At 42.9% G+C, this 11,945-nt stretch overlaps 3 annotated features.

Moving 5' to 3' along the window:
* Nucleotides 3,946–4,240: an enhancer, noted in NCBI's record as "tiled region #5108; K562 Activating DNase matched - State 8:EnhW". NCBI's record gives its function as "activates a minimal TATA promoter and a strong SV40 promoter by Sharpr-MPRA in K562 cells {active_cell/tissue: K562}" and the evidence as "EXISTENCE:reporter gene assay evidence [ECO:0000049][PMID:27701403]".
* Nucleotides 10,045–10,214: an enhancer, noted in NCBI's record as "experimental_92086 CRE fragment used in MPRA reporter constructs". NCBI's record gives its function as "activates a minimal promoter by MPRAs in K562 erythroleukemia cells, with activity observed for both the introgressed and non-introgressed 6:52202000 or rs473642 variant alleles {active_cell/tissue: K562}" and the evidence as "EXISTENCE:reporter gene assay evidence [ECO:0000049][PMID:34662402]".
* Nucleotide 10,129: a transcriptional cis regulatory region, noted in NCBI's record as "Neanderthal adaptively introgressed variant 6:52202000 (GRCh37/hg19 assembly coordinates) or rs473642 in the experimental_92086 CRE". NCBI's record gives its function as "modulates activity of the experimental_92086 enhancer by MPRAs in K562 erythroleukemia cells {active_cell/tissue: K562}" and the evidence as "EXISTENCE:reporter gene assay evidence [ECO:0000049][PMID:34662402]".

The following is an 11,945-nucleotide window of genomic DNA, read 5'->3' as shown; positions in this document are numbered from 1 at the left end:
CTAAAGAACCTGGTCTGATAGCACACAGATGTGTCAGAGTGAAGACTGAAGGGCTTCTTATATTCACTCTAGAGGCCTGTCCCTTCAATACTCCCTCCTTCTTAGTCTCATACCCCCAGCATCATGGAAATCTGGAATATTCTTGCATTATTTAATGGCAAATATGAATTGGTGTTTGTGCTATTTACCCTGATTATTGTCACTAGTAAGGAGGGTATAACTGCATTTTAGGGAGTGTGTGTGATTTTTTTGAATCAAATCTTGTTGAATTTTTAGGAGATTTTGACTGTGGCTGACAAGTGAGAATTTCTACATGCTGTGGCATAGTGGTTTAATTTGGTAATTGTTAAATAAAGGCAACATTGAACTGGATAGGACACATTAGGAGGATTTTCTGCTCTTTGTTTTTGTTATTACCAAGTCCTCTGACCATCTCTACCTAATAACCCCACCTTAGTGTGACATACCCAGCAACTATCTACTCTTTGCCTTATGGTTTCCACTGCCACTTACCCCTTCCTCTGTCCTAGTCTAAACTTGGCAAAGGAAAAAGAAGAAACCTAGAATGTCTTGAGTCATCAAGGATGTACTGTATCACTGGTTGTTAAATGGTTCTTTCATGGCCGAGTCCCAAACAGGCTGCAGATAGCATGTGTCTTGCCAGGCACAGAAAATGTCTAATGTCTAGCCAGATGCTTTGAGCATGCCAAGGTGAAACATGATCACAGTCTGTAGGTACTCCCTATGTCTGCCAGGATAGAGTACCTCTCATCTAAGGGCCTGTTTGAAAAACTCCAAACTGGATGAACTCAGGAAGTTTAATCGATCCTTCCCAGGTAACAACTCTGTATTTTGACCCAACCTGAATCACGACTTTCAGTGCACCTATAGATACATCATTTAAATCTTCTCTGTTTCAGTTTGTTTATGCAAAATATACTTTTGACTTCTGAGTCCCTGTTATTCAGAATCTCATGGCTTTGTCTATGCTATATATTTTTCTTTTTCTTTTTTGAGACAGGGTCTTGCTTTGTCGCCCAGGCTGGAGTGCAGTGGCACAATCATGGCTCATGACAGTCTCAACTTCCTGGGCTCGTGCTATCCCACCTCAGCCTCCTGAATAGCTGGGACTACAGGCACATGCCACCACACCCAACTAATTTTTTGGTTTTTTTTTTGTTTTTTTGTAGAGATGGGGTTTTGCCACATTGCTCAGGCTGGTCTCAAACTCCTGAGCTCAAGCAATCCACCTGCCTTGGCCTCCCAAAGTGCTGGGATTACAGGCATGAACCACTGTGCCCAGCCATATATTTTTCACTTGTCACCAAAATAATTATTTATAGCTAAATAACCATTGTTTATTCCAGGCTGTGTACTTTTTTTTTTTTTTTTTTTTTTTGAGGTGGAGTCTCACCCTGTCACCCAGGCTGGAGTGCAGTGGTGCAATCTCAGTTCACTGCAAGCTCCTGCCTCAGCCTCCTAAGTAGCTGGGACTACAGGTGCATGCCACCATGCCCAGCTAATTTGTTTTTTGTATTTTTAATAGAGATGGCATTTCACTGTGTTAGCCAGGATGGTCTCAATCTCCTGACCTCGTGATCTGCCCACCTCAGCCTCCCAAAGTGCTGGGATTACAGGTGTGAGCCACCGTGCCCAGCTGGCTGTATACTTCTTGAAAGCAAATACTATCAAGTATTTTGTGTACAGCCCAGAATGCTGCCAGGATAGCAGTATTTAAGAATCCATTAAAATCTTGCATATAACTACTTCATTATCATACTTCAATTTAATTTGGCAAAAGCATATTGACTCCCTTCTGGAGTACATATTTGTTTCTGCCTGGCACATTTTCCTTTAGAAACACACCCTCCCTCACACCACAGCACTGACAATCACATCCCCTGGCTTATGGGAAAGGAATAGACCCAGGCTGGCCAAGCACTGTTTCTTACCCCCTTGGCCACAGGGATGGGAATGTAACTCAAACTGGACCATTTGAACTGGACCACCAGGACTGGCAGGAATCATTAGTAAAGAGATAAACTTTTTTTCTGCTTTGTCTGCTAAATGAGGACCACAGAAGCCCAGTGCTGCCGTGGCATGCAGATCACCATTTTGAGAGACATTGAGAATTAAGCCATGGACCCAGTTCTGGCCCATGCGACATAAAGAGAATCTGCTGGTCATGGCTCTGGAAAAACATCTGTTAGTAAAGGAGACAGTCTATGGTCCCTTCTGTTTTATCCTCCCTCCTGAATTGAATGCAAATGTTAAGGTTGGATTTGAAGCAGTTATCTTGAGACCATGAGGGAAAGACCAAGAGAATCACAGAATCACAGAGATGTCAGTCCTGATATCTTCAAGCTACCCAAACAATAACTAGCAATTACTTGCTGTAAACAAGGATTGGCAAACTGCAGCCCCCATGGCAAATCTGTTTATATGCCTCAGGGTGCGCCTGAGCAGGCTAGCACTGGGAGCCAAGAGACTAAGCCAAGGCATCCTCTGCCCCTACTTTCCCTTCTGCTCCCAGCACTTGCCCCCAGGCCAGTAGGCAGGTATGCATTGCAGTGCCTAGGGCCCAGCTGATTGCCACCAACACATTGGGGACTCCATTGTTGACAGCTGTTGGGCACTGAGTGCTGGAATCTCACTCCAGGAGTTGGTGACCCTGCAAGCCACCTTGTCTCTGGTTAGCTGCCCAAATTGATGTGGCTGGGCTTGCCAGGAGTAGAGAAGGGTGCACAGGGCACTGGATGTTACCGGGGTGGAGAGTGAAACTGACCATGGGGGGTTGGCAATATTTATTACACACCTGGCTGGCCAGGCCCCTCCTTGGGCTGATAAGCTCTTTCTTCCAAGACTGTCTGCAGCAGAAGGCAACTGGATGCAAAGCATGCCCACCTCAAGCAAATAGGACAGGGAGGATTTTATTTTCTGTTATATAAGTGCCTACACAATATCTTCAATTTTGCCGCTTAGTCTGCAAAGTATAAAATATTTACTCTCTGGACATAGAAAAGGTTGTCAACCCTTGCTCTAGGCAATACTTGTTATGGCAAAAGAAAAATCTCTTCTTTTCCCACCCTCCCTCCCTCTTTCTCCTTCCTTCCTTCCTTCCTCTTTCTTCCTTTCTTCTTTTCTTCCTTTCTTCTGTCTTTCCTTTCTTTCCTGTATTAGGTTGTTCTTGCAATGCTATAAAGAAATACAGCCGGGCACGGTGGCTCACGTCTGTAATCCCAGCAATTTGGGAGGCCAAGGTGGGCGGATCACCTGAGGTCAGGAGTTCAAGACCAGCCTGGCTAACATGACGAAACCCTGTCTCTACTAAAAATAAAAAAATTAGCCGGTTGTGGTGGCGGGCACCTGTAATCCCAGTTACTCAGCAGGCTGAGGCAGGAGAATTGCTTGAACTCAGAAGGCGGAGGTTGGAGTGAGCTAAGATCGCACCACTGCACTCCAGCCTGGGGAACAGAGCAAGGCTCTGTCTCAAAAAGAAGAAAAGAAAGAAATACTTGAGACTAGGTAATTTATAAAGAAAAAAGGTTTGATTGGCTCATGGTTTTGCAGGCTTTGCTGGAAGCATGGTGCTAGCATCTGCTTGGCTTCCAGGGAAGCCTCAGGAAGCTCACAATCATGGCAGAAAGGCAAAGGGGGAGCAGGCAGGTCACAGGGCAGAGCAAGAGAGAGAGTGGTGGGGGGAAGGTACCACACACCTTTAAAAAACCAAATCTCACGAGAACTCACTGTCACAAAGAGAGCACCAAGCCATGAAGGATCCACCCCCGTAATCAAAACACCTCCCACCAGGCCCCACCTCCAGCATTGGGGATTAAAATTCAACATGAGATTTGGGCAGGGACAAATATCCAAATGATATCAAATATTTTTGTCCACTTTTTCTGCGGTTTGTAGTCAAAAGCATTCCTAACTTATATTAATAAGTGAGACTTCAATAGCCAAAGATGCTTCAGGGAGAGAATTTTTGGCACAAAGCACAGCCTTAACAGGAGTACAGAAATAGGGAGCCTAAGGGCCATGTATGAGGAAAGCAAGACCTCTAGTGTGGCTTGAGAACAAGGTTACTAAGGCCAAGTAACTGAAAACATTTTTTAAAAATTGCGGGTCATAGGCCGGGTGTGGTGACTCATGCCTATAATCCCAGCACTTTGGAAGGCCGAGGCAGGCGGATCGCCTGAGGTCAGGAGTTTGAGACCAGCCTGGCCAACATGGCAAAACCCCATCTCTACTAAAAATACAAAAATTAGCTGGGTGTGGTGGCAGGCGCCTGTAATCACAGCTACTTGGGAGACTGAGGCATGAGAATTGCTTGAACCCAGGAGGAGGAGGTTGCAGTGAGCTGAGATTGTCCCACTGCACTCCAGTCTGGGTGACAGAGTGAGACTCTGTCTCAAAAAAAAAAAAAAAAAAATGCAGGTCATGCCCATTCATTGGCCATGCAATCAATTTAGTGGGCTGTAACCAGCATTTGTTTAGTTTTGTTATCTACATGAATTTTTAATAGCTTTATTTATAATAGCACCAAAGTGGAAACAACCCAAATGTCCTTCAACTGGGAAACAGTTAAACTGTGTTACATCCATGTCATGGAGTACTACTCAGCAACATAAAAGAATGAATCATTGATACAGGAAACAACTTGAATGAATCTCAAGGGAATTATGCTAAGCCAAAAAAAAAAAAAAAAGCAATATTAAAAGGTTATTTACTAAATGGTCCATTTTCACAATATCATTGAAATAGCAAAATTATAAAAATGGAGAACAGATTAGTCCAATGGTCCCCAAACTTTTTAACACCAGAGACCAGTTTCATGGGAGACAATTTTTCCATAGATGGGGAGTAGGGGTATGGTTTCGAGATGAAACTGTTCCACCTCAGATCATCAGGCATTAGGTTCTCAGGAGGACCATGAAACCTAGATCCCTAGCATGTGCAGTTCACAATAGGGTTCCACTCCTATGAGAATCTAATGCGGTGGCTGATCTGACAGGAGGCGAAGCTCAGGCAGCAATGCTTGCTCACCTGCCACTCACCTCCTGCTGTGCAGCTTGGTATCAGAAAATGGCCGGAGGTTGGGGACCCCTAGATTAGTAGATGCCAAAGGTTAGGGGAGGAGGAAGAGCAGGATGTGGCTGTGGTTTTAAAAGTGCAGCATGAGGAATCCCCAGGATGAAACTTCTCCATATCCGACTGTGGTGGTGGTCATACAATTCTACACCTGTGATAAACTATGTAGAACTAAATGTACACACACACACACACACAAGTGGGTGCATGTAAAACTGGTGAAATTTGAACAAGATGAGTGTATTGTATCAACATCAACTTCCTGGTTGTAATATTGTACTATAGTTATGCAAGATGTTACATTGAGGGAAACTGGTGAAGGGTATGGGAGATTTCTCTGTAACATTTCTTACAATTGTGAGTCTACAAGTATCTCAAAATAAAAAGTTAAGAAATATATGAAACACAACATGGTGGCTGGAGGTTGGCAAGGTCCATGAGAAAAGGATACAAGATGTTACTGAAAGATAGAGGAATGTGTTCATAACAGAGATTGGGAGTGCTGAGAATATCAATGTGCAGCAAGCCAACTCCTTTCAACTGAAACTTGTTATATCAACACTAATGCAAACTTCCTTTTTACTCACTTAATTCTATTTCAAGTGACTAAAGATCTGCTATATTTTAGGTAACTTGACAGAACATTTTCTACTGGCTTCCCTTGAATTAAATTTTAAAAAATGAGCTCTTCTTGGGGGAAACTTTGAATGTATAAACACTTTTTTTTATATTGAAAATGGTACTTACTTCATTTCCTGTTCATATATGTAAATGACAAAAAAAGACTTTTCTTAAAATATTCAATATGTCACTAAACAACTGATTCTTAAAATTAAAGACAGAAATAGGCCAGGTGCAGTAATCCCAGCACTTCGGGAGGCCGAGGCAGGTGGATCACCTAAGGTCAGGAGTTCGAGACCAGCCTTGCCAACATAGTGAAACCCTGTCTCTATTAAAAATACAAAAATTAGCTGGGCATGATGGTGCACGCCTGTAATCTCAGCTATTCGGAAGGCTGAGGCAGGAGAATCGCTTGAACCCGGAAGGCGGAGGTTGCAGTGAGCCGAGATCACACCACTGCACTCCAGCCTGGGTGAAAGAGCAAGACACTGTCTCAAAATACATAAATAAATAAATTAAATTAAAGACAGAAAGAAAACCTTATTACTATGATGCATCTCAAGGTAAGGTAGGAGCTCTTAATATTTTTGTAACAATTGAATATAAAAGTTTAAAATGCATCGTGCCACTGCACCGCAGCCTGGGCGACAGAGTGAGACTCCATCTCAAATGAAATAAAATAAAATAAAAGTTTAAAATGCTTGTATATACAATATTTCCTATTGTGAGTGATAGTCAAAAGTGAAATGTTTAAGAAACACTGTAATAGAAAATGTTGAAAAGGTAGGCTGGGGCTAGATTGTGAATGTCAGTCTGAGGAATTCTGGTTTCTAGCTGCCTTCCATGAGGAGCCCTGAGGGCTTTTCAGGAGGGAAATGGCTAACCATATACAGAGAAACAATAGACTAAAGGGTGAGAGAGACAAACTAGTGGGCAATAAATTATGTCAGTGGGCTGCAGGCTCTAGAGGGGCAGAAAAGAAAGTGTATTCTTGGGTTACTTTCAGTGCAACTGATAGAAATAGAGCACAACCTCATGTAAGCAAAAGAATGCATTTATTAGTTGACATAACTGGAAAGAATGTGAGGTAATTTAAAAGAACCAAACAAAATGAGCTGCAGGAAACCAAAGCTTCAGTGACAGCATGGCGACTTATTACTGCTATGTCTTTCCTCTCTCCATAAGTTTGGCCTCATTCATTTCTGCACAGAGGCCCTGTGATTGTGGTGGTAAAGACAGTGCCCATTAGTCTGGGATTCACTTCCTTCTCCAACTTAGCAAGCCTAAAGAACTTTGTCCAGAATCCAGACATCAATCAGCTCCGAGAGGCCCTGCTTTGGTGACATGCCCATTCCTTGCTCTGAATCTTTTACAAGGTTTCAGTTAGAGTGCTTTTGGCTGAGAGTTACTGATACCCATTTAAAAATGGCTTAAATAATGAGGATGATATAATACTTTACTTACAAGAAGTTATGAGGTTCATATAGTGACTCAGGCTAGGCGCAGTGGCTTGTGCCTGCAATCCCAGCACTTTGGGAGGCCAAGGTGGGCGGATCAAGAAGTCAAGAGACCAAGACTGGGCTAGGCGCAGTGGCTCATGCCTGTAATCCCAGCATTTTGGGAGGCCGAGGTGGGCGGATCACAAAGTCAGGAGATCGAGACCATCCTGGCTAACATGGTGAAACCCTGTCTCTACTAAAAATACAAAAAATTAGCTGGGCATGGTGGCGGGTGCCTGTAGTCCCACTTACTCAGGACGCTGAGGCAGGAGAATGGCATGAACCCAGGAGGTAGAGCTAGCAGTGAGCCAAGATTGTGCCACTGCACTCCAGCCTGGGTGACAGAGGGAGACTCCAACTGAAAAAAAAGAAAAAAAAAAAAAAAGAGATCAAGACCATCCTGGCCAACATGGTGAAACCCCACCTTTACTAAAAATACAAAAATTAGCCAGGTGTGGTGGTGTGTGCCTATAATTCCAGCTACTCGGCAGGCTGAGGCAGGAGAATCGCTTGAACCCAGGAGGCAGAGGTTACAGCAAGCCAAGATTCTACCACTGCACTCCAGCCTGGCAACAGAGCAAGACTCTGTCTCAAAAAAAAAAATAAAAAATAAAAAATAAAATAATATATATATATATATATATATATATATATATAGACTCAATAACATCAGGGTCCCTGGTAGACTTCTCTGCTGTTCTCTTAACTTTCCCTTCAAGGGCAAGATGGCTCCTGCATATCCTAGAATCATATCAAGTAGCAAAGTCTAGGGCAGGAAGAAACAAGTCCTTGACTTGCATCCATATTAAGGGTGAGGAAAGTGTCCCAGGAAATATCCTCTTAAATTTTATGGAATAGGATACACATGTTGGCATAGCCTGTCGTTGGTGAGGCAAACTGGATAAAATATGGCTGGCTTGGACCAATTAACCCTATACCCGCTAGAGTTGGAGAGGTGCCCTCAAAGCACATGGTTTCCCAATATCTAAAACATAATTAGTATTCTAACAGAAAGAACATACAGAAAAATAGTCAGTATGTATGCAACTAACATATCTTCCAGGCAATGAGAATGGGACATTGTACTTGTTTCCTATTGCTGCATAAAAATTTATCACTAACTTAGTGACTTAAAACAAGATGCGTTTCTTTTTTATTTTTTATTATCTTTATTTTTCTATCTTTGGGGGGCACAAGTGCAGGTTTCCTATATGCATATATTGAATAGTGGTGAAGTCTGGGCTTTTAGTGTACCCATCACCTGAATAATGCACATTGTAACCAATAGGTAATTTTTCAACCCAAGATGCATTTCTTATCGCACAGTTTCCATAGGTCAGGAGTACAGCTCCTGGCACAGCTTACCTGGATTTTCTGCAAGGCTGAAATCAAGGGGTTGGCCAGTGCTGGGTTTTTACATGGAGGCTCAATTGCAAAATATCTTATTCTAAGCTCACTGAGGTTGTTGACAGAATTTGTTTCCTTGTAGCTGTAGGACTGAGGTCTGTGGATTCTTGCTGGCTGTTGGCTTGAGGCTGTTTTCACCTCCTAGAAGCTGCCCACAGTTCCTTGTCAGGTGGGCTTTCCCCACATGGCTACGAATTTCATCAGAACAGCAATTAAAGTCTCCAGAGCAAGTCTCCTAGCAAGATGAATCTCATACAATGTAATGTAATTATGAACGTGACATCGTCTCACCTTTGCCATAGTCTATTGCATAAAAGGAAGTTATAGTTTCTACCTACACTTAAGGGGAGAGGGTCACATGAAGGCATGAACGCCAGGAAGTGGGGATCCTGTGGGGGTCACCCTAGCATCTATCTGCCGCATACACTATGAGTAGCCAGGCCTGGGTCACATACCCAGCTCAGTTACCAGAAGAAGAAAGATGAAAAAGCTTTCTGGGAAATTAAAAATATAATTCCTTCAGTTCACATAAAAATGGAAGAGACATTCTGAATATATAATTGCCGTGACTTGGCAGCCATTGAGTGTCGTGTAGGGAAGGGAGGAAATAAAGATGACTCAGGGCCCCAAAGCCAGTCAGCGACTGGAAAGAGGACAATGCTATTATTGAATTTGAGGACTTAAACAGAACAAGAAGAGAAGGGAGTAAGATGGAGATTTATCTGAAGTTCCCATAGGAAATCCTCATGGAGTTGCCTACCTGGAGCTCAAGACAAGGCCCGAGACATAGATTGGGACCTAATCTACCTAGAAGTAGAGGAGATTTACAGCTGTGGGAATGGATGACACATTTGTGTTTGCAGCAGTAGGTGACCATTTCCTCCTACGTGCCTGCTCAAAGGCTTTCAAATTGCCACTGAAACTCCTTAAGCTTACAGAGTCTTTCATGGTTTAGCTCTTGCTTACCTCTCTAGATTCTTGATTGACCTTCTCCCTAGAACACTATTACACTTCTTACAGGTCTCCAAAAATGCCATGTGCTATTTTCTCTAAGCCTTTGCTTACCATTTCTCACTGCATGAAACATTCTTCACCCCTCCCCTTATCATTGCCTGGCCTTGTATCTTTTGGGTCTCCATGTAGATTATACACTCTGGAAAGCCTTCCATGACACCAACTTAGATTGTCCCCTCTATGGGCTTTAAGAGCGTGTGGTACAGCCCCTTTCTGTAGTTCCAATAGCACTGTATTGTCATTACCTACTTACTTTTCTCTTATGAAACTATAAGCTTCTTGAAGATAGGGATGGTGTCTAGCCACTTTCTTAGCACAGTGTTTAGTAAATGGAAGATGCTTAGTAAGCATTTGTTAAATGAATGAGGAGTGAGTGTTAACTTATTTCTCTCTCAGTTCAAACTCCTTTGCTTCTAAGTGTCAGAAAGCCCAATCCAAAGAGCTTAAGCAAAAAGAGGAATTCGCGGCTCATATAAGCAAAGAAGTCTAGAGGAGTGTCGTGCCCATCATTGAACCAATCGTTGTTCTTTCAGGAGAATGCAAGGCTCTGATTGGCCAAACCTGGGTCACATGTCACCCCCATTTCTGCTGTCCCAAGACCACTCAGGCTGGGGATGAGGGATGGTGCTGGAAGTGGGAAGGGGCGGGGTCTCCAAACTACAGTCCTGAACTTTCCCTGGAATTTTGGTGAGGGGATCCTGGGTAACCCTCAAAAACAAATTTCTATTAAGTAATGCCTACAATTCAGGGGGATAGGGATAACACAGATCCAGCAAAGAAATTCTAGGTTAAGCAGTCTGAGAAATGGGCAAAGAGCTAAGAATGTATAGTGTCATGCAAGGAAAGGTGACTAATATTTGTTTAGCACTGACCATGTGACAGGAGCTTTTCACACGATATATCATTTAACCCTCACAATAACTCTCAAATACATAGTTATTCCCAGTTAACAGAATCTTAGGGTAAACTGAGTCTCAGAGGGAATATGTAACTCACTTAGGCCACACAGTTCCTGGTGTCAAAAAAGGTTAGGGACTGCTTCATTAAAGGAACAAGGCTTTATTCATTTTTGTCTCCAGCGTAGGAAAGGGCCTTACTCATACTGTTCATCACTAAATATTTGTTAAATTAATGAATGAATAATTAATTGCATGAGCAAAAGATGAAAAACTGTATCCCAGGAAGAAATGAAGGTAGAGAAAGAACAGTAGGGGTGGGTTAGATTCAAACATGTTTTTAGGGCAGGTGGAAAGAGGTTGAAAATGAAAGAAAATGTTGATGATGAAGCAATGTTCCCTATGCAGTTCAAATTCTAGGAAAAAGCCTTAGATAAAAAATTTCAATATTTCTTCCCCCAGAGTGAGAGAGAGAGAGAAAAGTATGGCCTTGGGAGAGTCTGGGGTAGAGGGAAGAAAACCAAAAGCATTCTTTTCAGCTTCCTCGGTCTTCACTGTGAAAAAGTAAAGGTTCTCATTTCTACAACTGTGTCGAGTATACGCTGACCTGATGTTTTAATTCATGGCTCATCCTCACAGTACCAAGCATAGAATAGATGCTAAAATAAATGTATAAACTCACTGGGTTGAACTGAATGAAATCAAATTATCTTTTAGAAAAATTTGAATGTAGCCTTCAGAAAGGGCAGCTACCTATAAGCCTAATTTGATGGCTTGCCAGGACTTTGGTAGGTGCTGTGGGAAGATGGAGGAAGGCAGTACAATGTGCCCATGTTATCTGTTCTACAGAATATCTTTGCTGGGCAAATATCTCCTTATCATTTTCCTTTTTCAATGCAAGCTTCCACCCTACTTCTTCAGGACACCTGGGCTTGGGCAGTGATTACTAGGTTGACTGTTTGTAATAACAGGTCTGTCTTGGGAAATTATAGGCTGTGAGGTCTCAGAGGTTAGCAATCAGAAGAGATTTACTAAGCCTTCTCTGACCAGTTCCAGGGCTGTCCTCCTTAGCAGACTGACTCAGCCAGCAGTGCCACCTGTGAAACAGGTGGCAAGGCTGGTCACACTGCCTCTTTCCACATGCTATTCTGTCCACTCCCTAAGGGTCCCTGACACCAGCTGAGAGAGTGAAGCCTTGGCCTGCTGGGGATGCCTCCAGCTGCAGAAGGCAGCCTGACCTTGAATTCAAGCAGGCTTTAAATTCTTCGCCTCACAGAATGAGGTAACAGAAAGATGGATGATTACTGATTAGAACACTGTGACCTAAAAAAATTAAGTAATCCACAGTGAAAACTCATTCCCCTGTCTCTGTTTAGTCTCTGACAGGAATAAAGGATGGGATAAAGGGTAGGATAGG

This window comes from Homo sapiens, chromosome 6 (assembly GCF_000001405.40).
Source record: "Homo sapiens chromosome 6, GRCh38.p14 Primary Assembly".
Taxonomy (NCBI): domain Eukaryota; kingdom Metazoa; phylum Chordata; class Mammalia; order Primates; family Hominidae; genus Homo; species Homo sapiens.
The sequence above is the reverse complement of the archived record's forward strand: the minus strand, read 5'-3'. Positions and strand labels throughout refer to the sequence as shown.